This window comes from Homo sapiens, chromosome 1, assembly GCF_000001405.40.
Source record: "Homo sapiens chromosome 1, GRCh38.p14 Primary Assembly".
NCBI classification, from domain to species: Eukaryota; Metazoa; Chordata; class Mammalia; order Primates; family Hominidae; genus Homo; species Homo sapiens.
Window position 1 is genome coordinate 223,077,633 of NC_000001.11, and position 26,662 is coordinate 223,104,294.

Sequence of the window (26,662 nt, forward strand, 5' to 3'; positions counted from 1 at the left end):
CCCAACCCTGAGTGTGCAACCCGAGGGCAGCTGGGGATGAGTGTCGTGGCGCCCCTCGTGGCCATCTGTCGGTACCTGTGCCTCGCGCAGGGTCTGTGGCTCAAGTTGTGAATGGTGGGGCTGGGTGTGGCGAGGCCTCCGGCCTGGAGTCTAACTTCTGGGTTCTAGGCAAGGTTAAGGTCCTTCCCCATCACTCCACGCTATGAAGCTCTAATTCTTTCATTTAACTTCTCACTCATTGAACAACTATTACATAAAAGGCATTGCCTGCAGTAGAGGCTCTGAGACACCAAAATGAATCCAGCAGTCCTCCTTGGAGGCTACAGAGGCAGACAGGGAGAGCCACACAGGCACACAGTGAGGCCAGACACGAAGGCCAGGGAGCAGGGGAACAGAAGTGAGGCCGGCAGATCTCTGGGTCCAGGACCCTTGCCCTGGCCATGAGGTGGAGGGTGCAGCAGGCTTCAGCCCCAGAGGGCCACCTCGCGTCCCCAAGAGGCAGGGGTTGGCTAGGGCTCCAGGGGACCCTTTCTCTGGGGCCATATATGAGGGTGGGTTCTACTCGGTCCTGTGAGCACCCTTGGGCTGCCTGCTCTGCCTTGCCAGGCTCTGCCTGCCTTCCTGGTGCCACATGGGGCTGGGTGTGGGGAGCAGGGGAAGGAGAGCCACGTTCCCCTCCTGTCCCAGAGACTCTTAGAGAGATGAGGTAATGTCTGTAGCTGCCCTGGGGAGGGGATGGGACATGCACAGTGAGGCGACCATCCGACTCTCACTCCATGCTGCATAGGGACCCTGCACTCTGGGTTTCAATGCATTCCGTTACCCTCGTTTCCTCCTCCGGAAGCCGCCACAACATGCTAATCCTTCAGCAGAGCTGCAAGGGACAGAGAGGGAATGGAATCAATATTTATGAGGCCTTCAGGCCCGGCATGGTGGCTCACACCTGTAATTCAGGTGTGGCTCACACTTTGGGAGGCTGAGGGTGGATCGCCTGAGGTTGAGAGTTTGAGACCAGGCTGGCCAACACAGCGAAACCTTCTCTCTATTAAAAATACAAAAATTATCTGGGCGTGGTGGCAGGTGCCTGTAATCCCAGCTACTTGGGAGGCTGAGGCAGGAGAATTGCTTGAACCTGGGATGTGGAGGTTGCAGTGAGCCGAGATGGCGCCACTGCACTCCAGCCTGGGCAACAGAGCAAGACTGTCTCAAAAAAAAAAAAAAAATTATGAGGCCCTCAGGAAACCTGGGGGTCCATCCATCAACGCCAATCTGTGACCTCGTTCAGATGTTTCTCCAGCTCTGGCTGCTGGAACGTTTATTCCTCCATCAGGGCTTGGGCCATTCCAGGCTGGGGAGAAGAGGCCAGAGGGAGGAGGGAGGCCCCCAGCCAGGTTCCGGCTTGGGCAGTGCAGCCAGCAGAGGGGCTTAGGAGCAGCAGGCAGTGGAGTCCTGAGCAGAAGCAGGAGGGTTGCAGGGCTGTGCTGGCACCAGCCGTGGTACAACTGGGGCATGGATGATGACTGAAGATGGTCAGGTAGAGGAGAGTTGAAGCTTCTACCCTACATGTGTGCTCACTGTTCAGGAGACTCATCAGCGCTGCTTTACAGTGTGGTCGCTGGCTTTTCCCAAGAGAAAGAGGAAACTGCCAGGACTGCTAAAGGCTGGGCCCAGGACTGCTGCTCCTTCTATGGCTCGACACAGGGGGAAGGGGGACAGCCTCGCTTCTTGCTGGGGCTGATCACAGGGGAAGAGGGGTCCAAGGCCACCATTGGAGACCACGCATTCTACGTGAGGGCCACGGGTCCCCCTGTGTCTGCCTTTCCACGTGGGGAGGGGTACATAGCAGCTGTGAACCTCTCATCTGCTGCCCCAGGCTTTTGGATCCTGTCAATGCACAGACTCTGACAGACTCAAACATCTGCCTTCCAGCCTCGGCCATGTACTCTGGTGACTTCCCCAGAATGAGTGTGGCAGGTCGCCTTGATCCAAGTAGCTGCCAACTCACCCTTGCCCTCTTAAACAGCCCCTTTGTGGACAGTGGTCAGTGACAGAGACATGGGTGACCTGCTGAGTGGGAGGGGAAGGCTCCTCTCTGGAGGTTCAGAGGTGGAATTCAGACCCGCAGGCCAAAGTCTCAGAAGGCAGATTTTACGCCCACGCAGGAGTGAATAATAAACTCTTTAATACTGGAGTGGTCTGATTTCCAAAAGGGGGTGCCCTGTCCCTAGAAGTGTTCACACAGAGGCCGGATCATCCCTGCCGGGAGAATGAGAATGAATTCCTACACTCGTGGAGAGGCTGGACTCTTTAAACTTCCAAGATTCCTCACGCTTTTAATCATCCTTCATTCTAATTATCCAGACCCTATTTGGTGACAATTATCATTTGCAAGTCCCAGCAATCCTCATTTTGGGGGCCAATCCCTAGTTGCTTGTGTAAGTAAGCATTGTTGAGAAAAGGGTCCAACAGCTGGAATCCAGGAAGGCCCTACCTACCTAGGCACCATGTTAATGCCCAGCTAGTCAGTTGGGTCCAAGCGGCTTTGAGTATTTCTATTTTAATATAACTGCATGAAATTCGCGCACCCGGGAAAGAGCTCGTGCGGGGTCACTGAGCACCTTCTTTTCTTGGCCCTGAGGTTGGGCTGGGGGTGGAAAGGACCCTCAGCTCAGAGCCCTCCGTGAGGCCCCCAGCATCTACTGCATCACAGATTGGACTGTCCCCAGCCACAGGACAGGGCTCAGGCCTCCCAGTTCTCCAAGAAGCGCATTCCCTGGGGTTGGCCCACAGGACCGGGCTTCTCCGTTCACCTTTTCTCTTGGATTCGTGCACCACCTTGGCTGTACTGAGAAGCAGTAGTGTGAGCAACCAGGTTTGAAGGCCACAGGCTCTGACCCCAATGCCCACCCTGTGCTGCTCCGGAGGAACTCTCTGGGGTCTCCTGCCCCTCAGGCTCCAATGCCGGCCCCAGCCTCACTCTGCCAGGGCCATGGATCCTGCCCTCACAGCCCTGGGGGGGAAGGACCAGTGCCCAGGCAAAGCTCCATGCCTGGCTCACACAGGCCCACAGGAGAGGGAGGAAAAGTCTCCCTCATGAGTAGCCAGGGTCAGGGTCCAATGAGGGCCCTTAACATGTAAAAGATGTAGCTTGAGCTCAATCAGCTTTAACCTTGTCTTTCCATTACCTCATAAAGTAGCATGGAACTCTTGACAAAAGTAGCAAAGCTCTGAGGAGATGTGCGCTTACTGGCTTTCTAGCATATTCCAAAGTTCTCTCTGCCTCCAGGTGTGTTGCTGCTGCAGGGCTGCAGGTAGGCATGGGCCGGGCTGCAACTTGGGGCTCTTCTGAGGACCTGGGACTCTCCCCGGGAAGGGCGGCCGTGCAGCTGTTTCTAGATCAGCGAGGATTTCACCACAGGACTCCCATTCTGTGATCGTGCTTCCAGGCTGACCTGTGGCACGTGTGTGCAGGGTGTCGTGCATGTGTATTGTGCGTGTGGTGGGTGTCCACTGTGTAGTGTGTGTACACATAGTATGTGTGGTGTGTGTATACTGTGGTTTCTCCCCTGAGGCCGGCGCCTCCGGGTGTGGTGTTGGCGCTGTGTCTAGGGTTTCTAGAAGGGGAGGAATGAGGGAAAGAGGCCCCTCCGGGCACTGGGACAGGCTCAAGGGGAACAGCCCCGAGCTGGGTGTTGGCTGAGTGTGAATTCCAGCAGCCAGGCTCACAGACCCGTGTCACCTCTGACGTCAAGTGGCAGGGACACGCTAAAAGCCTTTGAGTCTATTGATTGAGAAGGCTCCAGAAGGTTTTGGAGCGCTGGAAGAAGGCCAGGCCTGGAATTTACGCGTCGGCCTCTTGGTGTCTCCTCCCGCTGAAGGGAGTAAATCCAGGCAGGTCTGGGGCTGCCGGGCGGGCACCTGGGGCGGAGGAGCCTCGAGGCTGTGGTCCTGCAGCACCACCTGGGGGCGGCGAGAAGAGTAGCCGCAGAGGCTCGGGAGGACGCGCCCTCGGGTCCAGCCGCAGCCAGCACACCGGGAGGTGGTCAGGGGTCATCTCTTCTGCGCCGGCCCCAAAGTAGACTGTCCAGTTCCCTGGGAGATACTGCGAAATCTGCTTCATGTTTCCATTCGTAGACAGGAAAAAAAAAAGCCCGCCCCAAAAGCCTGAGCTTCCATTAGGATTACCTTGCCTGGGGTCCCAGAGTGACCATAAAACACCATTTCCCACCCTCCCTGCCCCATTGGTTTGTCAGAATACTGCTTCCACTAAGAGGTACCATCGTTTAAGATTCTTAGAATATTCTACCTAAAAGGCCTGAATATTCTCATATTCATGTGTGGCCTTAGAATGAATATCCAGCCTGAAAGGAGATGGTGAAGTATGCCTGCCTCATAGGGAAACTGAGGCTCAGCAAGGCTCCGTGGAAGAGGGGAAACCTTACCCTCTGAGTGCTCCATAATGGAGTCTATGGAATAAACTGACAGCAGGCGGATTAGCAGGAGGAAGGGTGACCACATTTATTATGCACATGGATGCATCATGGGAAAGAAAAGTGAATATCTCCAAACCAATGAGAGACCTAGAAGCTTATGCGCCTGACTCACCGCGGAGGCAGGAGAGGGGATGGAGGTGCCATGGGGAGAATGAATGATTTGGGGAAAGATGAATGGGCCCTTGGGAGAATATGGGTAGCCTATGACAAAGTTGGCCTGGGCATGGCATCAACCTTCAGTCCCCTCTGCTGTGATGCGAGTCTCCCCTGGCTCATGAATTTCCTGGGGAGGGGGATTCATGATAATTGAGGTCCCTTTGGAGGGTCCGTCTTTAGGCAGACAAAGGCAGCTCAGAGCAAGCCTCCGCCTGCATCCTGTGCTGCCCAGTGCCTTCGGTTCAAGGTAGCTGGCATACCGTGTTTGGGTGGCACTTCCCGAACTCCTTCAGCCCAGTCCCTTGACTTTAAGCCCAGTGCTCTTTCCACTGCTGTCCACGGTGTGTGGCCCTCCCCCCGTGCAGGTGTGTGACTGGGCACCCGCAGAGGGACACCAGGCCACAGGGAAAACAGAGAGAGGCAGACCCAGATAATGCCAAGATGTGCACAGAGCTGAGTGCTGTAGAAGGAGCTGCAGGCATGGGATGGAGGGTGTGACACCAAGTGGTACCACCCACAGGACACATCTGCTGCGAAGATACTCAGACTGAAGTCTGGGTCCCAGAGAAATGACTCTTTATAGCACCTGGAAAGGCTACCCTGCTGCCTGCAGTCTCTGTGGAACAAAGAAGAAATGAATATTGCAATGCATGTCACACGTAAATTCAGCATCTAGCCCTGTTTGTACTTGACCTGGCCTGGCCACCTTGTTACCTTATGCTCCTCATCACAAACTCCTCCCCAGAGCCAGGCTGCTGGCCTCCCTGAATATCCTGCTTTCGCGCCTTTGCTTTTGCTGCTTCCCCTTCCCGGAGCACCTGCCATGCCCCCCTCACACCTTAGCATGTGAGTCGAAGCTTCCTGTACACAGCCAGGGGCTCCTGGAGGGGTGTGTTAGCTTCCTACAGCAGCTGTAACAAAGTCTTACAGACCGGGAGGCTTACACAGCAGAAACCTGTGGCCTCACAATTCTGGAGGCTGCAAGTCCGAGATCTAGATGTTGGCAGGTTGATTCGTTTTGTGGGCTGTGAGGGAGAATCTGTTGCAGGCCCCTCTGCTTGGCTGGTAGTCGACCATCTTCATGTGTCTTCATGCATCATTCTGTGTGTGTGGCTGTCTCCACGTTTCTCTTTTTTATAAGGACACTATTCATTTTGGATGAGTAATGGCCTCATTTTAACTTGATTACCTTTCTAAAGCCTTATCTTCAAATGAGGTGCTATTCTAAGGAACATGGGACGTCAGCAAATGACTTTTGTAGTAGACACAATTCCACCCACAATACCTGGTTCTGGCCTGGCCAGCCACTGCTGAACCGATGGAATGCTAAAGGGAATGGGATTTCGAAGTGAAAGATGGCTTGGAAGTTTGGAGAACATGAGGAGGAGGTCTCGGGGGTGTTGGGGGTGGATGAGCCCATTGCTGTGGGAGCAGAGAGGTCAGAGCATGTAGTGGAAAGGGGTTTGGGGTAAGCTTTTGCTGTTTCGGTTGTGAGAAAAACTTTCTTCCATCTCCTTGGGAAAGCGTTAGCAAGGAGTACATTACTAATCCTTAGACTGGAGTGAGATATGTGTTGGGTCAGGGGCAACGTGAGGACGTCCGGCACTACGGAAGGGCCAGGGGGAGCCCCAGTGGATCTAAATCTTTCTTACCCTTCCAGGACTAACTCACGTCCTTCTTCCTGGCACGTCTGAGCTTGCGTTATTCTGGCAGAAAACAAACTAAATTACAGTAAATATATCACACACATTATTTCCAGCGCCACTTCATTAGCCGGTGCTGTTTTGTAGGGCTAATTAACTGTGGCGCGTATGTTTGTCTTCTCCAGTTGATGCTGGTGCACGTGTATAGTCTGAGGTTTGTTTTTCCCCAGCCTCACCCCCATGGTGCCTAATACACCACATCGTGCACAGCAGGCGCTTGGAGCACGCCTGTAAACTGAAGGCTGCTTGGGATGCCCATCACGTTCCCTTATGCCAGCCTTAGCACAGCGTCGGGGTCGCCCACACCCAAGGCTCCCCCTGTACCTGTGGAAGGGCTAGAATGGAGACAAAAGGCGTGCCCCATACATTGTACTTCCTCAGTTTTGGAGAGGCTCACCCTAAGGTCCTCTGCAGATATTCCCGTTCTCAACAACGTTGGCCACACCCCTGGAGGCTTTGGAAGTTACTAGAAGGGCCCGAGTTTGACAAGGCCTTCTGCTGCTCTCTCTGACCTTAGGCCCTCAGGAAAGAAGGCGGAGGCATTTGGCACTGTAGTGGATGGAAACCAGGCTGCTCCGAGTGGCTGTTTTCTTTCGACGCCAAAGAAATGGAATTTGCCTGAGAGTCTCAGAGCGTCTCTTCCCACTTAATAAATTCTGTTTGAAATGGATGATAATGGCTTCAGGGACAATGTGTTCGAGATGGATTGTAACGGGAGATTAGGGAACAACAGGTTCACAACCCCCAGACCTGACGCTGCAGGCTTTTAGTCAGGGCCCTTCTGGGAGGACAAGCAGCTGGTCTAGGTGGAGGGAGAATTTGGAAAGAATCCAGGGCTGGAGCAGGGCCACATCATGAACTGAGGATGCAGAGGAGATCTGAGGCCAGAAGATGTTTCAAAGGTAGGGAAGGGCAGTGGGGAGAGTGCTGGGGAGGGGCCTCTTTGAGGCTGTTCCAGGAGATCAGCTCTTGCCAGGAGCTGGACTTTGAACTTGGGTCCCGTGATTATAAAATCCAGTGGGCCAGAAACCAATGATAATGATTATGGCCCCTTGCTACATTGGGATTTGGTGCTGCTGAATGCTCTGGCCTCAGAGGACCCCGTGACTTTGGGGTGCTGTCAAAGAAAAAATTATTCGTGATACTTGTTATAGATGGTAAGGCAGACTCTATTCACTGGGGGAATCACAGTAGCTCTCGGGACCACTGCAGTGGGGTCTTGCAGTGGGGAGAGAGACTGAACTCAACTGAGTCCAACAGGGACAAGTGAGGATTCATAGCCCAGGAGCAGAGTGGGTGTCCGTGGATGGAAAATTACTAAGAGGAGGCATTTTTGCTAGACTGACAACAGAATTCTTGCTGCAGGCAGGCCAGGCTGAGAAGATACCCAGGGTGATTAGATTCCAAGGGTGGGGAATTGTTGCTAAACTGACAATAGGATTCTTGCTCAAACTGGATTCTACAAAGACAGAGCGTGAAGCCCAAAGTCATACCTAGTTGAGCAGAGGACTCAGAGGAGCCTAAAGGTTTGGTCAAACGCAAGAGTCTTTGTCAGTGCCCGTATTCAAACCAGGTCAGGGGGAGCCCTGCTGTTGGCTTGCTGGGAGAGAGAACCAGCCCCCGACACACTCACATCATTGGGAATGTGTAAATACTTATGCAATGTGGATTACTATGTGTTTTACACATTACATATTCATGTGGCATATAATGGAAGCTCCCCCAAGAACCAGCAGAGAATGTATGGGAGCACAGGAGAGTGATTTAGATAGAGTAGCTGTCATCATTGTCACCATCATCATCACCCCCATTTTACAGATGAGGGAATTGAGGCCCGAAGAAGCTGGGGGTTGCCTGAAACATAAGAAATAAATGGCAGAGGCAGACCCTGTGGCTCACTCAGGTGCCTCTACTACTGTTATTATTACATGCAGGAATTGCTTATTGAACACATACTTGTGCCAGCTCTCACCATAGCCCTGCAAAGAAGAACCTGAAACTGGAAGAAATAACTTGCAATAGCAGGAATTTTCAGAGCTGGATGTTGAACTTGGGTCCTGTGATTCCAAATCCCATGCTCTGTTGACTTCCTGGCCCTTTGTCTCCTCAAGGTGTGTAGCTCACTCCAAATCCTATGCATATGGGGAAGTCTCCTCTAGCCCCACAGTTGGCATGGACCTAGCACATCCCTTATAGATAAGCCAAGTCAAGTCTAACTTTTTCTTGTGAGGTTGTTGGCATCACAGTTTGTCCTTGGGGATAGCTGAGCCTTTTTTTTTTAGAGCTGTCCTTTGACAGTCCCGCTCTGTCGCTCAGGCTGGAGTGCAGTGGCGCGATCTCGGCTCACTGCAACCTTTGCCTCGCAGGTTCAAGTGATTCTTGTGCCTCAGTCTCCTGAGTAGCTGGACTACCAGTACGTGCCACCACACTTGGCTAATTTTTTCTTTTTTTTCTTTTTATTTTTGAGATAGAGTCTCACTCTGTGGCCAGGTTGGAGTGCAGTGGTGCGATCTTGGCTCACTGTAACCTCTGCCTCCTGGATTCAAACAATTCTCCTGCCTCAGCCTCCTGAGTAGCTGGGACTACAGGCGTGTGCCACCACGCCTGGCTAATTTTTGTATTTTTAGTACAGACGGGATTTCACCATGTTGGCCAGGATGGTCTCGATCTCTTGACTTCATGATCCAATTGCTTCAGCCTCCCAAAGTGCTGGGATTACAGGCATGAGCCACCACACCCGGCCTAATTTTTGTATTTTCAGTAGAGACGGGGTTTCGCCATGTTGGCCAGCCTGGTCTCGAACTCCTGGCCTCAAGTGATCCACCCACCTCAGCCTCCCAAAGTGCTAGGTTTATGGGTGTGAGCCACTGCACCTGGCACACTGAGCCATTTTTTAATGGGAGATCTGCTGTGTTTGAGTTTTAAGGTGCACTGTGGGGAATGAGATCTTCTGTTCTCCTTACTTACTCCTCTCACAGGCTTGATATTCAGCTCCCCAATGCCTGGAATTGTACTATCTCTGTCTTCGAATGCAGATTTAAATACCCACATCAATCCTGAAAAAGTATTGCAATTGTCTCCAGAGTCAGTGAAGGTGTCTGCTGGAGCTTAGGTCTTTGAAGTTCAGGCTTAGGAGTTTGCTACTTTCTCATTGTGCTGCTGGGTGATAAATGTTGCTTTGCTTTCTGTTTCTTTTTTTTTTTCAGGCTTGTTTTTAATGAAAAGAAATGGCGGTTGGCAATATCCCTGAAGCTTTTTAGTGGGGCTCCTATAATGAGGTTTGCTGAAATTCTGGATAGGAAATGTTTCCCTCTGTAGGCTCAGATGCAGGATTTTAAACTTTTGTGATGTCTGTGGTCTTTTTCTTTTGAGCTGGCTGGGTTTGCCTCTTCAAAGATGTCAGCCCCAGCCTTGCCAAGTTTGGAGTTTACATCTCTAGCGTTAGTGACTTGCATGACTGTAAAAATAGGTCAGTGTTTTTTTTCCTCCCTCTCTTTCAAAGAAGAGAGAAAAATTGTGTGTGTGTGCATGTGTGTTTTCCAACATCCCATCAGTCAAAAACAGTTGAAGCAATTTTAGCTTACTTTTTCCCCAAAAGATTCACTCCAAGTATGACTCAGATCGTGGAACACTTCAAGGAAAATTTTTTCTGTGAAAGTTAAGTGCAATTAATGAGGAGAGATCTGGTGGGAGAAAGAATTCCTCAGTGTTCGCTATAATGTCAATTACAGGCTGCCTGACAAACACACATAAAACGTGTAACAGATCCACTGCCTGCTCCTGCGCCACATCAGGTTATTATGAGAGTGAACATTTCTTTCCATTACGAATCTGTATGGCTTAATTTTCCCAGCTGAAACTTTAAACAAGATGAAATTGCATGCATGCATGTGTGCGCACACACACACACACACACTCAACTATATTCTTTGAAAATACCACTGAAGAAAGTTTCCTAAAAACACATAAAACAAGGAAGCAGTTCAGCCATGAATACATTTTCTATGTGCTAAAAGGGGGTGAGTTAGACTCTAGATGCAAAACAGCTTAAACGCTTCTTGCTGCAACAAGGTTGCTGCCAGCTCTGTAAAGACTTGGAGTTTTATCCTATTCAGAATTGGCTTCTATTTCTTCCAAGTGCAGACGCATCCTTATGGCCTTGCCTATAAACACAGCCATGGGTATTTGCATAGAGGTCTGTGAGTCCCCGCCTTACCCTTCTCCTCCTCCCCTCACTCCACACTCATTTGCTCCTATAGGGTCTCTGTAGTGTTCTGGGGGCTCCCTTGCCCATGTCTGTTTTCTTACCCACTCCCAATCAGGGACCTCCTCTTTTCCCCGAGTCCTCAGCTTTTTCCTCTCTCCTTTCCATGAGCACTTCAACGTCCTCAAGCCTCTCCCACCTTAGAACAGAAACCTCTCAACCCCATGTCTCCCTCCTAAACACCCTATAGCTTCCCTGCCCTTCACAGCCAAATTGCTTGCCGCAGCTGTCTACACTTGCTGCCTCCACCTTCACATCCACGCATTCCCCCAGAACAACTGCCTGATGCTTTCCTGACATCCTTGGGAGTTCATCAGTGACCTCCCCATCCAAAGCCAAGGGCATGTTTCTCAGGCCTTCTCTTATGGGATTTTCAAGCAGCACTTGACGATGGCTGTCCACCCATTCACCCACTCCTTCATCACATGGTTATCTGAGGGGCTCTTACTTTTGGAGCTGGCCTCCTGGCTTCTGTGCTGCTGCTCTTTTCTGCTCCATCCCCACCTCTCCGGCCACCCCTCCTTTGCCCGCACTTCTAGCATTGCTTCTTCTACTCTCCCATTAAATGCCATTTTTGCCGAGGGCTCCGTCCTTGACCTCGGGTTTCTCACTTTGCAAGCTCTGCCCCCGCTCCCGCCTCTCCCTTTGTGTTGATGGCTTTCAAAGGTGCACCTGCCGCTTGGGCCTCTTTCCTAAGCTCCAGAGGCCTGCTGACTTCTCATGGATCAAGGCTTTGATCCCAGTTGCCATGTTATCTGCAGCCCACTCATGACTCTATGTTCAGGAATGGCTCTGGAATCCTGGGGCCATCCTTGACTCCTCCTTCCCCTTCTGGTCAACTTCAGATCTCTCCCGTTCAGGCAGAACAGCCTGATTCCCTTACCGGCTCCCCCATGCCTCTGGACGAGGGATCCCAGCACCACATACCAGAAGTCAGGGCGTTACCCAGCTCCACCTCCAACCCACCCACCCTGACCTGCTCCGCTTCCTACTGACCCCAACTGCAGCCTCTTCTCTTTTAAATAATAACAGCAGTTAACATGTAATCAGTGCCTGTTGTGTGTCAGCTGCGGAGGTAAGTGTCTCTTCGCTTTCAGACCCTGTGAGCTCTGTACCCATATTGTCCCATTTTACAGATGGCAAAACTGAGGCCCAGGGTGCGGGTTTTGTTGGGTCCTTCCTGTGGACGCCTTTTGGGCTCCCTAGCCTCCCGTGGCCCCTTCACAGCTTTTGGCTGCACCGTGTGCTTCGTGTCGCAACCCCAGAGCAGCTGGCACCCCCATCCCTGTGCTCAGTCAGCCCTGGCCTCAAAACGCAGCCGGGTCAGAGCCCTGGGGCCCCGCTTGCTCAGGCCTCATTTCCTCTGCCCTCATCCCTTGCTCCTGAATTTCTAAAAGAAAAAAGTCTACTAACTAATATCCTCTGCTCTCAGGTAATATCTTTGCAACCCAACCTCCTCACTGACTGTAGCAGGATTATTTCTTCAAAATTGCAATCCAGTCATGTCCCTTACAGCTTAAAACCCTTCCACGACATCTCTTTGTTGTCCTTAAGACAAAGTTTAAACTCTCAGCTTGGAACTGATCATAGCGGTCACTCTAAACTCCGCTCTCCCGACTCCTTGGGCAGCCCTAGGTGCATGGCAGACAGTCCAGCCTTCCTTGCTTCCCTTTCCCTCTCCTTTACAAACATTCCTGGGATGTGCCAGACAAGCGCTGTGCTGATCACCGAGAATGTGGGGATGAAACAGACAAGCTAGCAGACAAAGAGCAGGGTTCCTGCAGGCGTGTGGGGAGGGTCAGCTCTCCAGAACAATCTTAGTCCAGCACCACAAGTATTATGATGCAGGTGCATGGCTCCCCTGGTTCCAGGTTGATGGACTCTGGATGACTCCTTTGGCTCTGATAACCTCCCCTCATCTGGCTCTCCAGCTCCTAGTGAGAGTTCTAAACCCCGGAGAGCTCAAGGGATCATCTCCTCTGCTCCAGGATGCCTCCCAGGCTCCCCCTGCTGGAGGCTGGACACAGCTCAGGAACAGCCCTAGAAGCTGCTGCTTAGGATAAATGAATTCTGCATTTTATCCTAAAAGCAGGTCCGATTTAAAGATTGTGTGTGTGTGTGTGCGTGTGTGTGTGAGACAGGGTATCACTCTGTCGCTCAGGCTGGAGTGTAGTAGTGCAATCATAGCTCACTGCAGCCTTGACCTCCAGACTCAAGTGATCCTCCCACCTTCACCTCCCAAGTAGCTGGGACCACAGGTGTGTGCCACCACATCTGGCTAATTTTTAAATTATTTTTTTAGAGATGGGGGGGGTCTCACTATATTGCCCAGGCTGGTCTCGAACTTCTAGGCTCAAGTGATTCTCCTGCTTTGGCCTCCCAAAGTGCTGGGATTACAGGCATGAGCCACCGCACCTGACCTCATTTAGATTTTAGTTGGAGGGTGACATTAGTGACATGGCTGGATTTGTTCTTGGAATGGTCCCTCTGGCTGCTGTGTGGAAAAGGAATGAGAAGACTGGAGTAGTTCTCAGAGCACTGATGCAAAATCCCGGGGCACATTGGAGTCTCCAGGCAGTTTACAGAACCCCCAGGCCTGGGTTCCACCCTACAGATCCTATGCAATTGGTCTGGGGTATGACCTAGGCCATGGGAAGGCCACGGGATTTTTAAAAGCTCCTGAGTTAGAACAATGACCCTTAATCTGGTTCACATGAGAATCACCTGGGGGAACCCTTAAACAATGCCCAGGTCCTACCTCCAGGGATCCTGATATAATTTGTTTGGAGTGGGGCTTGGGTGTTGAGAGGTTTGAAAGGCTCCCCAGGTGATTCTGATGTGGGCCTAGGGCCAAGAACCACCGAGTAAGAGGCTATCACAGTAATCCAGATAAGTGAGCCAGACCCTAGGGATGGCAGGAAGTAGAGTCAGAAACACTTAGGAGGTAGAACTGGCCCAGCTTGGTGATGGACTGCGTGGGAAGGTCTGAGGCAGGAAAAGATGAAGGCCTACACATTTCTTAGTTTCCTGACTTGGTCAAGGGGGCAAATGGTGGCCGCTCCAGGCTGGGGTCAACTCTCTCCACCTTTGCCCTCATCCTAAATCTGGTGCTACTGCCTGCAGTCCTGGCAGTTGAGAGAGACTCTACTATAGTCTTGGACAATTACAATATTCCAGGTGTGCTCCGCTTTTAAGAAAATCAAGTGCCATATGTCTCTTGATAAGACCCAGTGAAACTCTGAAAATGCTGCCCCAAGGGACGCCATCTCCCAGGGGGAGATCTAGGCTGTGGAAAGCAACCCGAGGCCCCACAAGGAAGGGATTGGACCAAAACCATAGGATGTGAGTGCAGAAAGGGACTTTAGAGACCTTCCCTGTCACATTAGGGAAATTACAGACCAAAAGAGTAAACAGACTTGGCAGAAGGTGGAAGGATTGGTGCGAGGTGGCGAGGGAAACTGAGGTCCAGGGAGATCAAATGCCTCATACACAGAGAGTAGTTTTTGCTGCTGCATCTCATCAATTCTAAAGCACATTTTTTCATATTTAACATTGAACAAGCAGATGTGTTATGCAATTGTCATTGTTTAAATGTCAGTGTTTTTATTTATTAGTGGTACATCAAATAAAGGAGCATCTTACAATCAATGACATCTTACATATAATGGCATTATTTTGCTTTAATTTTATAACCAACTTGGAGATCCATTGACCAAGATGTTCCGTTGGCCAAGTACATTGTCATCTGGCTTCACTGAGATAACACAATCATCTGTCAGCTGAGCAATTCCTCTGCGAGCTGAGGTTGGGCTTATCCATTTTTGATATCCTGTGACTTCGGCTCTGTTCTGACCCTCAGCAGGAGCCTGAGAACTGCTTGTAGGGACATGACCCTGAAGATGACACTGATGACTGTTCCCAGGGTTCCGGGGATGCTCATGTGGCTCTTGCTGCTTTCCCTTTTACGGCTGTGGGAACTCACATTATTTTCATGACAACTAAGGACTTGAGCTGGTTTGGGCAGTAGCGTGTGGACTTCACTGGGCAGCTGCTAGGGCTCGTCCATATTAACCATCGTGGTGGTGGAGAATGTGATGCCATTGAAGGAGGCCAGGCAAATAGGCCCTGCATGCTATCTGCTAGGTATTTGCTTTAGGGGTATGTGGTATAAATGGGTTATAAACAAGTTATAAACAGGTTATAAATGGATTGTATGAACGAGTTCAAGACAGCCCCTGTGTATTGGCCCCCATGCTGTTTACTTCCACACCACAGCCCAGGACCGTTAACTCAAGCCTGCCAGCACCAAACTCAAATTCTTGCACATCCAATTGCTTTAAATGTAGGCCAAATATTATTTGCCCATTTAGAGCCTGCCTGCTTCGATAATTTGCAAAACTACACCCGACACCCTCTCACCATAGGTAAGACGAACCTCAGGGCTACAAAAGACCCCAAATGGCTGCTGTCCTTTGGAGCTCTCTGACCCAGAGACTCCTCACCATGATGCTCCCCACCATGAACCCTCTTGGGTTCAAACGATCCTCCAGCCTTAGCCCCCCAAGTAAATGAGACTTCAGGTACATGCCACCAGGCCTGGTTAATTTTTAAATCTTTTTTTAGAGATGGGGTTTCACCATGTTTGCCTAGGCTGGTCTCAAACTCCTGAACTCAGCAATCTGCCCGCCTGGGCCTCCCAAAGTGCTGGGATTACAGGTGTGAGCCACTGCACCTGGCTCCTTTTCTTTTCTTCTAGACCTGTGACATCTCTTAGACCTGTAACCTCCTCTCTGATCCTCCTCTCCCCTGGGAGTGTCCTTGCCCTTTTCTTCTGGTGGTGGCCCTGCCACTGCCTCTGGAAGGTCTTCTGCTGCAAGGGACTTTCCCCTTCCATGCATTCTGTCCAAGCTTCATCCAAATAAAGCTCTTGTGTGCTATTGCCATCTAGTGATCTGGTCTTTTTCTTGATCTTTCCCCAACATTCAAACTCATGAGAGTATAATTGTGTAAATAAGCAGATAAATCTAATTTTAGACACTACCTACCAAGGGGCTTCACTGACGTCTGTAATGTGAGAGTTAAGCAGCTTAGCTAGTAACACTACTGAAACACCACTGTTTTTACTGAAAGATATAATGTATGCAGGGGTCATTCATCACAGATACAGAACGTCCTAAAAAGAAAAAAAAAAAGTAGCATCAAACACATTTTAAATTATAGACCAGAAGAGTAAACAGACTTGTCTTGTTGGTTTTGTTGCTGCCTCGTGGGGCTAATGGCCAGCCCCTGGACAGTCCCAAGGGGGCAGCTCAGTTACCATTCTCAGGAAGAGGATACGACTGTCTACGGCTCTTCCCAACAACAAACACAGAGTAGCCATGCACATCTCAGGAATGGAGATGGAGCAAGAGAAAAACTAGCGATAACAGCTAGAGTTGGTTGCATTTCTAGTAGGTGCTAAACAACATGCAAGGTGTTGTACATGCATTATCTCAGGTATTCCTCACAAAACCCTATTATTAGTCCAAAGCTCAGAAGAGTTCATCAATTTGCCAAAGTTGCAAATCTAATCCATGGTAGAATTGGGATTCAAAGCCTGGTCAATGAGACTCCAGGAAGGACAGGATTTAACCGCCTTGCCCTGTTGCAGAAATTCAACTAGCCTGAGCATTTTGCAATGTGTCATAACTTCTGATAATGGGCTGAATAAAGGATGGCAGCAACATCGGTAGGAATTGCAGTATCTCTCAAAGTTACGGGCCAGGGGAGGGTGGGACAGGTGTCAGCAGACAGACTCCATGGACATGCTACATCCTGGTGTCAGATTTGGGGTACTGACCTCCACTGGGGTGTGTGTGGTGGAACAGGGTTCTGCCTAGTCACAGCCCAGTTCTATCAGATCAGGAACCCCGTCATCCTCCCAGGCTCCTTCCTGGCCACCTGCAGCAGCTGGGCCCAGGGCTGCTTCCATATTCAAGAAAGAGAGACATCGAAGTGACAGGGATGGAACAGAATGCTGAGAGATCAAGGGAAGTTTCTAGTTATTTTCCCATCCACACCCAAGCTCTCTCGTCCTCCGTTGTCAGCCCAGTCAGGAACATCTCGTCACTCACCCCACCTCCATAGGAACTGACCCTCTGTGGATGGTTTTCCATGGCTGCCATAACAATGTGCACTAAGGGAGTGGCTTGAACCAAAGAAATGTCTTGTTTCACAGTCCTGGAAGCTGGAAGTCCAAGATCAAGGTGTCAGCAGGGTTGGACCCTTCTGAGGGCTGTGGGGAGAGTCTGTTCCTGGCCTCTCCCTTGGCTTCTGGTGGTTTGCTGGTGATCCTCGGCTTGTAGAAGCTTCACTACGATCCCTGCCTTCATCTTCACCTGGCACTTTTCCTGCATGAGTGTCTACCTCTAAATTTCCCATTTTTACTTATTTTTTATTTTAAAATTAAAAAAACTTTTAATAGTAGAAAATTTTGAACATACACAAAAATAGAATAGTATAATGAACCCCCATGTACCCATTACATAGTGTCGACAATGACCAACAAATGGCCAATCTTATCTCATTTGTTCCTCCTCCCTGCACCTATCTCTATGGAAATATTTTAAAGCAAATTCTCCTTATCATTTTATTTACATACATGTCAGTCACATGTCTTCTAAATGATAACTTTTTTTTTTTTTTTTTTTGACACAGAGTCTCAGTCTGTCGCCCAGGCTGTAGTGCAGTGGTGCTATCTTGGCTCACTGCAACCTCCACTACCTGGGTTCAAGCAATTCTCATGCCTCAACCTCCTGAGTAGCTGGGCTAACAGGTGCATGCCACCATGCCCAGCTAATTGTGTGTGTGTTTAGTAGAGACAGGGTTTTGCCATGTTGGCCAGGCTGGTCTTGAACTCCTGATCTCAAGTGATCCACCTGCCTTGGCCTCCCACAAAGTGCTGGGATTACAGACGTGAGCCACCACACCCAGCCAAGAACTCTTAAATACATAATTTTGATACAATTATCTCACTATTAACTGAACAAAACAGTATCACCTGGCCAGTCATGGTGGCTGACACCTGTAATCCCAGCACTTTGGGAGGCTGAGGTGGGTAGATCACTTGAGGTCAGGAATTAGGGACCAGCCTGGCCAATATAGCGAGACCCTGTCTCTACTAAAAGTACAAAAATTAGCCAGGCATGGTGGCGTGCACCTATATTCCCAGCAACACAGGAGGCTGAAGCAGGAGAATCACTTGAACCCAGGAGGCAGAGGTTGCAGTGAGCCGAGATCACACCACTGCACTCCAGCCTGAGTGACAGAGTGAGACTCTGTCTCAAAAAACAAAACCAAAACCAAAAAACCCAGTATTACCAGATAGCTACTCAGTGTTCACATTTCCCCAAAAGTCAATTTGTTCAGGATCTCAACAAGGTCTATGTACACATTGTGTTTGGTTGATATGTCTTAAATTTCTTAAAATCTATAGTAGTTTCCTCTTCTCTCTTTTTTCTTATCATTTATTTATTGGAAAAAATTAGTTCACTTACCTTGTAGCATTTCACACATTTTGAATTTGGCTGATTATATCCTTTTCTTTTCTTTTCTTGTCTTTTCTTTTTCTTTTCTTTCTTTCTTTTTTTTTTTTTAAAGAAAAGGTCTTGCCCTTGCTCTGTCAACGAGGCTGGAGTGCAGTGGCACAAATACAACTCACTACAATCTCCACCTCCTGGGTTCAAGCGATCCTCTGGCCTCAGCCCTGCAAGTAGATGGGACTTCAGGTACATGCCACCATGCCTGGCTAATTTTTGTAGAGACGGGGTTTCGCAATGTTGCCTAGGCTGGTCTTGAACTCCTGAGCTTAGCAGTCCACCCACCTGGGTGTCCTAAAGTCCTGGGATTACAGGTGTGAGCCATCATGCCCAGCCCTTTTTCTTTTCTTTTTATAAAAAGCTTTTATTTTAGGTTCAGGGGTACATGTGCAGTTTTGTTATATAGGTAAACTCTTGATACTGGGGTTTGCTGTACAGATTATTTCATCAACCAGGTAGTAAGCCTAGTAACCAATCGTTTTTTCTGATCCTCTCCTTCCTCCCACCTTCTACCCTCAAGTAGGCCCCAGTGTGTGCTATTCCCCTCTATGTGTCCACGTGTTCTCATTATTTACCTTCAACTTATAAGTGAGAACATGTGGCATTTGGTTTTCTGTTCCTGCATTAGTTTGCTAAGGATGATGACCTCTAGCTCCATTCCTGTACCTGCAAAGGACATAATCTTCTCCTTTTTTATAGCTGTGAAGTATTCCATAGTGTATATGTACAACATTTCCTTTATCCAATCTGCCCTCGATGAATTTCCCATTTTTTAAGGACACCAGTCATATTGGATTAACCCCTTTCCTACTCCAGTATGACCTTGTCTTACCTGATTCCACATGCAGTGATCCTGTATGAGTCTGTTCTTGCGCTGCTATAAAGAAATACCTGAGGGTAGGTAACTTATCAAGGAAAGAGGTTTAACTGGCTCACGGTTCTGTGGGCTGTACAGGAAGCATGGCTATGGCATCTACTCAGCTTCTGGGGAGGCCTCAGGGAGCTTTTACTCAGGGCGGAAGGCAAGTGGAGCAGGCAGATCTCATGGCCAAAGCAGGTGCAAGAGAAGGAGAAGGAGGGGCCACACACTTTCAACCCACCCGATCTCACGAGAACTCACTCACCGTCATGAGGACTGCACCATGAGGATGGGGCTGAACCAATCATGAGAAATCCTCCTCCACGAGCCACTCACCTCCCACCAGGCCCCACCTTCCACACTGGGGACTACATTTCAACATGAGATTTGGGGGGACAAATAACTAAACTCTATCAGACCCTATCTCCAAATAAAGGAACATTCTGAGGCACTAGGGGTAGGACTTCAACATATAAATTTTGGGGGTCCACAACTCAGCCCACAGCACTCCATAATTCAGAAAGCCTTTTCTTTCCTGCAATAGTTTTGTTTGAGTCAATTGGCTGTTGTATCTGTAATGTCTCACACTCACAAAGCAGCTCATGATCTTCCCTGGCTGTGGGGGGAGCACAGGCTTCCACAACCCATGTGAGATTGAGTGTATTCCCTCCCAGGTCACAGACCCCCCATCACAGGGCACAGCTCTTTGCAGAGCACACAGGCCCCCATCAGGGGCTGGGGGAGCGGGCCCAGACCAGCACGGGTCCTCGAACTGCCGTGTTCTCAGAAATGCTGAGTATTCTCTCCTTAACAGCCTGGTTCCTGAGCCATCTATCCTATCCTGAGCTGGTCTCCATGTCACAGCGCTTACTTCTCTCACTTTGGCCTTTGCTTTGCCCTTCATATGAGCTGCCCTCCATTGTCTTGTTGGCTAAGGCCTCGGCTCTTGCTCATGGTTGCGTTGGCCACCTCGGGGAATATCTGTAAGGTTTGGGCTGACCCTGAATCATCCTGCCTCTGCCACTCTCCTGGGGGGACACTCCCACTCCAAGCCCCAGCTTCCTGGGAGAGGCCTGAAAATGCTATTCAGAGGGTGCTGACTCCCCTCGAGGGGCTGGAGCCATCCTTAGAGAGTGCTGGATTGTCCAAGGTCAACTTGGCATTACCACCAACCCCAGGACCTCCCTCAAAGCCAAAGTCCCTTCTGCAGAGGGAAGCAAAGCCAGGAATACTTCCCTGAACTCTGTCCCTGTCTGATTCCTGGTTAGAGTTTGCAAATGAGAAGCTCTCCTGAGATTAGGACAGAGGTGGGGGAAAGGTCTTTGTTCTTCAGGGGTAGTTACAGCCAGATCTGTAAGGAGTTGAGATTTGGGAACAATCATGCTTGCTGCTGCCCACAAGTGTGGGACATGTACCACTCTTTGAGTGTTTTGGGATGAGGTCTTTGGTGTCAGCTTACCTGACCTCCACTACCCCAGGTCTTGCAATATTTCAGTATACCCTTAATTCTCTAAATTAAAACTTTAAACACCTGGAGTACATACAGTGGCTTCTGTTTTCTTCATTGAATCCTGTCTGAGATAGAGAGAAGGAGCAAACCTCCAATGACAGGCAACGTCTTACGGATACTGTGGTGTTTTTTTAGGACGCAGTGACAGTGCTTCAGCAGTGAGGAGAGAACAAGGCAAATTCCAGCAAAGAGAGCAGCCTCTCTGGGAGAGCCACCTTGAGGAGAAGAAAAGGGGCATTTCAGGAAGGTTAAGCAAAGAATCAGCAAAACCCAGATTGGAATCACTAGCTAGGCAAGTTGCTTCATCTTTCTAGTCGGAGCCTCAGTTTCCTGATCTGTGAAATGGGGAGGTGACCACTCTTTACATTATCTAGTCATGTGAATTCAATGAGATGATTTAGGTAAATTCTCTAGAATGGAGCCTGGCAAGTAGAAGGTGCCCAATTAATGCTTCTTTTTTTCTTCCTTCTTGGCAGAGACGATCCATTTGCTTACCAAAGATGCTGCCATCAGCTATCACAGAGGGCTAGAGTACTCCTTTGCTTTCAGCTGGAGGGAAAAGCTTCTTACTCTTTTTTCCCATTCAGAAGGAAGAGGGATGAGGGAGGGCGGAGAACAATATTTTCAGTGCTGTGAGTTTCTTTCTGCTGGTGTATAGTCTCAGGCTGGAACAGCTCCTTAAGGCCATACATTTAGTTTCCCTCAATTTAAACATAAAGAGCTAAAACTAGAAATCCTCTAGAAGAAAACATCTTCATGATCTTGGTGTAGGCAAATGTTTCCTAGGCAGGATACAAGAACACAAACCATAAAATAAATAGATAAATTGGACTTCATCAAAATGTCAAACTTTCTGATTGTTAATAAAATGAAAAGGCAAACCACAGAGTGTGAGAAAATAATAGCAATACATATATCTGATAAAGAATTGTACCTGAATACATAAAACATGCCTACAAATAAATACTAAAAAGACAAGCAACTCAGTTAAAATGAGCACAAATCTTGAACAGACACTCCATAAAAGAAGATATATGAATGGCTAATAAGCATGTTAAGAGGTACTCAGCATATTAGTCATTAGGGAAATGCAAATGAAACTACTATGAGCTACCACTTCACACCCAATAGGATGGCTAAAATGCAAAAGACTGACCATATCAAGTGTTGACAAGGATGTGGAGCAACTGGAACCTCATACATAGCTGGGAGAAGTATAAAATGTTACCATTATTTTAGAAAACAGCTTGGTGGTTTCTTTCACAGGTGATATGGTTTGGCTGTGTCCCCACCCAAATCTCATCTTGAATTCCCATGTGTTGTGGGAGGCACCCAGTGAAAGGTAATTGAATCATGGAGGCAGGTCTTTCCCATGCTGTTCTCGTGATAGCAAATGAGTCTCACAAGATCTGATGGTATTATAAGGGAGAGTTTCCCTGAAAAGCTCTTTTCTCTTGTCTGCCACCATCTAAGATGTGACTTTCACCTTCTGCCGTGATTGTGAGGCCTCCCCAACCACATGGAACTGTGAGTCCAATAAACCTTCTTTTGTAAACTGCCCAGTCCGGGTATGTCTTTATCAGCAGTGTGAAAATGGACTAATACAGTAAATTGATATCAGTAGAGTGGGGTGCTGCTGAACAGATACCCAAAAATGTGGAAGCAACTTTGGAACTGGGTAACAGGCAGGGGTTGGAACAGTTTGGAGGGCTCAGAAGAAGACAGGAAAATGTACAAAAGTTTGGAACTTCCTAGAGACTTGTTGAATGGCTTTGCCCAAAATGCTAATAGCGATATGGACAATTAAGTCCAGGCTGAGGTGGTCCCAGATGGAAATGAGAAACTTGTTGGGAACTGGAGCAAAGGTGGCTCTTGCTATGTTTTAGCAAAGAGACTGGTGGCATTTTGTCCTTGCCCTAGAGATCTGTGGAACTTTGAACTTGAGAGAGATGATTTAGGGTATCTGGCAGAAGAAATTTCTAAGCAGCAAAGTATTCAAGAGGTGACTTGAGTGCTGTTAAAGGCATTCAGTTTTATAAGGCAAGCAGAGCATACAAGTTCAGGAAATTTGCCACTTGATAATGAGATAGAAAAGAAAATCCCATTTTCTAAGGAGAAATTCAAGCCCGCTGCAGAAATTTGCATAAGTAACGAGAAGCCAAATGTTAATCCCCAAGACAATGGGGAAAATGTCTCCAGGGCATGTCAGAGGTCTTCATGGCAGCCCCTCCCATCACAGGCCTAGAAGCCTGGAAGGAAAAAGTGGTTTCATGGGCTGGGCTCAGGTTCCCCATGTTGTGTGCAGCTTAGGGACTTGGTCCCAGCTGCTTCAGCTGTGGCTGAAAGGGACCAATGTAGAGCTCGGGCCGTGGCTTCAGAGGGTGCAAGCCTCAAGCCTTGGCAGCTGCCACATGGTTTTGAGCCTGCGAGTGCACTGAAGTCAAGAATTGAGGTTTCGGGAACCTCTGCCTAGATTTCAGAGGATGTGTGGAAACACCTGGATGTCCAGGCAGAAGTTTGCTGCAGGGGCAGGGCTCTCATGGGGAACCTCTGCTAGGGCAGTGCAGAAGGGAAATGTGGGGTCAGAACCCCCACAGAGAGTCCCTCCTGAAGTACCACCTAGTGAAGCTGTGAGAAGAGGGCCACTGTCCTCCAGACCCCAGAATGGTAGATCCACTGACAGCTTGTACTGTGTGTCTGGAAAAGCTGCAGACACTCAATGCCAGCCCATGAAAGCAGCTGGGAGAGAGGCCGTACACTGCAAAGCCACAGGGGCAGAGCTGCCCAAGACCATGGGAACCTACCTCTTGCATCAGCGTGATCTGGATGTGAGACATGGAGTTAAAGGAGATCATTTTGGAGCTTTAAGATTTGACCACCCTGTTGGATTTCAGACTTGCATGGGTCCTGTAACCCCTTAATTTTGGCCAATTTCTCCCATTTGGAATGGCTGTATTTACCCAATGCCTGTATTCTCATTGTATCTAGGAAGTAACTAACTTGCTTTTGATTTTACAGGCTCATAGGCAGAAGGGACTTGCCTGGTCTCAGATGAGACATTAGACTCTGGACTTTTCAGTTAATGCTAAAATGAGTTAAGACTTTGGGGGACTGTTGGGAAGGCATGATTGTCTTTGAAATGTGAGGACATGAAATTTGGGAGGGGCCAGGGGCAGAATGTTATGGTTTGGCTGTGTCCCCACCCAAATTTCATCTTGAATTTCCATGTGTTGTGGGAGGGACCTAGTGAAAGGTAATTGAATCGTAGGGTCACGTCTTTCCTGTGCTGTTCTCATGATAGCAAATGAGTCTCATGAGATCTGATGGTGTAGTAAGGGGGAGTTTCCCTGCACAAGCTCTCTTCTCTTGTCTGCCGCCATGTGAGACATGCCTTTCACCTTCCACCATGATTGTGAGGCCTCCCCAGCCACATGGAACTGTAAGTCCAACAAACCTCTTTCTTTTTTTTTTTTTTTTGAGATGAAGTCTTGCTCTGTTGCCCAGGCTGCAGTGCAGATTGTGCAGTGGCACAATCTCAGCTCACTGCAACCTCCGCCTCCTGGGTTCAAGTGATCCTCCTGCCTCAGCCCCCCTAGTAGATGGGATTACAGGCACATGCCACCATGCCTGGCTAATTTTTGTATTTTTAGTAGAGACGGGGTTTCGCCATGTTGGCCAGGCTGGTCTCAAACTCTTGACCTCAGGTGATCCACACACCTCAGCCTCCCAAAATGCTGGGACTACAGGTGTGAACCACCGTGCCTGGCCTATAAACCTCTTTCTTTTGTAAATCGCCCAGTCTCAGGTATGCCTTTATCAACAGCATGAAAACAGACTAATACAACAGGAAAACATACACCTACCTTATGACCTGGCAATTTTACTCCTACATATTTATCCAAGAGAAAGGAAAACATGTCCACAAAAAGATTTGTAAATGAATGGACATAGTAACTTTATTTCTAATAGCTAAAAACTGGAAACAACCCAGGTGTCCCTCAACAGGAGACTGGATAAATTGTAATATATCCACACTGCAATAAAAAGGAAAACTCACTGATATTATAATATCCTGGAAGCATCTCAAAAAATTATGTTACGTAAAGGAAGACAGATGCAAAATGTTGATTGAATGATTCCATTGATGTGAAGTTCTAGAGCAGCCAAAATCAATCTATGTTGATAGATTACAACAGTGGTTGTCTGAGTTGGGGCAGGGGTAAGGATTGGCAGGAAAGCGAAAGAGGCAACTTTCTGGAGTAAAGGAAACATTCTATATGCTGATGGAGGTAATGGTTACATGGGTGTAGACATTGAAATTTACACTTAGAATGTATCCATTTTATTGTATGTTTAAGAAAAACCCAGTTTACTGATTTTCTTCTCAGATTTCCAGACGTATTGCCTTGACCTCCAAAGAGATTAGATTCACCCCAGGGACAAGGAACTGTGTCCAGACCAGGGGAACTAGAAGCAGACCTGTGGACCCCAGAGAACCTAGATGGTCAACTTTTCTACAACATAGTTTCTCTCTCTGCACTACCAGGTGTTAATGTGCATTTATTTTGTGCTAGGAACTGTGCTAATTAGTTCTATATTCTATATACATTTTAATGCTGGGGGAAAACAACAACAACAACAAACCAAACCCTGAAGCTCCAAGGGGTGAAACAACACACAGCTAAAACTGCAACTCCGCATTCTTATTCCAAGCCCAGAAGAAGCCAGCTGGGGAACTCCCCACCCGAGGCTCACATTGGGGTTGTCCCTTGCCAGCCAGGAACTCCCCACACCAGCTTCTCCTCCTTTGTTTCACACCTAAGCCTGAGTGTCTTCCTTAAATCACCAGTGGTGATCCCTAGTTCCCACTCCAAAAAGCTTCTTTTCTTTTCACAGGGACCAGTGCACGGAAACCACTGGCTACTTACTTTTGCAAATCCCTCCAGGCTTGGCACAACCTGCAGGCTTGGAAGACTCTGGCGCTATAATACAGCTGCAGCTGGGGAAGCGGTGGGAGCTCATTAATGGCCAAGGTCACTGGAAAAACCATGAAGGTGACCTCAAGCGTTAGGCCTCTAGGGCTACTCGAAAGGCAGATGCAGGCCAGCGCAGCAGAAAAATGCCCCAGCCTCCACTCAGCCAAAGCACCTGCTTCCTGAAGGGTGGCTGGGGCCCAGTGAGACATGATGTCATTGATTTTTATCACAACCTTCCTGGGGAGGAGACAGGAAAACAGGGGCCTGAGGTGAATAGCCTGAGCTGGGAAAAGAAACACAATTTCCAGCGCGTTGGATCAGGTCCCTGAGTTTCAGGAATAAAGCCACCTTGTCAGACTCTCCTGGACTGTGGTGTCTGAGAGGACCATGGAAGCCTTAGTGAGTTCTTTCCATGGAATTTTCTGTGAAATAAAAATATTTAATTTCTTAAAAGGTCTATCTAAATGGAAGTTATTGTGGCCATGAAGAAATCAAATATTTAATTGCTAAGTAAAAGAGATTAAAAGTGCCTTTAATCTTAAGAAAAATAAAATTGGGTAAAACATTATACATAAAATATATGATCTATACATTATATATGTGTGTGTATATATCATGTGTATGTATATTCACCTGTTGAAATAATTTTTTTTGTTGGTGGCTTAATTTTAGAATTTTGGCTAATTATTTCTAGATTGTCTTCTGCCAAGGGCAGGAGTTACTATCTCAATTTTATCTAAGTACATATTTATTTTTGTTTTTGTCTGTTTTAAGTATTATTACTGAAATGCATGCACAGAGTTAAACTTTAAATAATATCACATACTCATAATAAAAGCTTGCAGTTCCCTGACTCCTCCAATCTCCCTAAGCCCTCCAGGATAATCACTTGTGTTTTTCCTTTGGTGGGAGCAGAGCATGGAAACACATTTAGATCAGAGGCAATCCCTGACAAAAATAAGGTATCCTGGGAAGAATGTCCCATAAGCTCTACATGAATTAGTCTGCTACATGTTTCTATTCCTTTAACCAACAAATCTGTCTAATTCATATCCCAACACTCTGGGAGGCCGAGGTGGGTGGATCACCTGAGGTCAGGAGTTCAAGACCAGCTTGGCCAACAT

General features: G+C 48.5%; 2 long non-coding RNA genes across 3 annotated transcripts, besides 1 other annotated feature; both read right to left on the reverse strand.

The window, feature by feature from the left end:
* Nucleotides 981-1,494: an enhancer, noted in NCBI's record as "H3K4me1 hESC enhancer chr1:223251955-223252468 (GRCh37/hg19 assembly coordinates)". NCBI's record gives its function as "activates a minimal SCP1, AML or CMV promoter by ChIP-STARR-seq in naive H9 embryonic stem cells {active_cell/tissue: H9 hESC(naive)}" and the evidence as "EXISTENCE:reporter gene assay evidence [ECO:0000049][PMID:30033119]".
* LOC102724046 (uncharacterized) lies at nt 14,197-18,253 on the reverse strand. Of its 2 annotated transcripts, XR_001738490.1 has the most exons (4): nt 18,152-18,253; nt 16,730-16,842; nt 16,456-16,632; nt 15,296-15,789 (listed from the first exon to the last, which is right to left on the reverse strand). It is a non-coding gene; the product is annotated as an uncharacterized LOC102724046 (long non-coding RNA). The 2 variants fall into 2 exon arrangements; XR_007066892.1 differs by having other exon boundaries at nt 14,197-16,842.
* Nucleotides 18,254-20,671: 2,418 nt separating this feature from the next.
* On the reverse strand, nt 20,672-25,649 carry LOC107985323 (uncharacterized). Its single transcript, XR_001738491.2, has 3 exons — nt 25,491-25,649; nt 21,058-21,344; nt 20,672-20,777 (listed from the first exon to the last, which is right to left on the reverse strand). It is a non-coding gene; the product is annotated as an uncharacterized LOC107985323 (long non-coding RNA).
* Between the last annotated feature and the right edge of the window lie 1,013 nt (nt 25,650-26,662).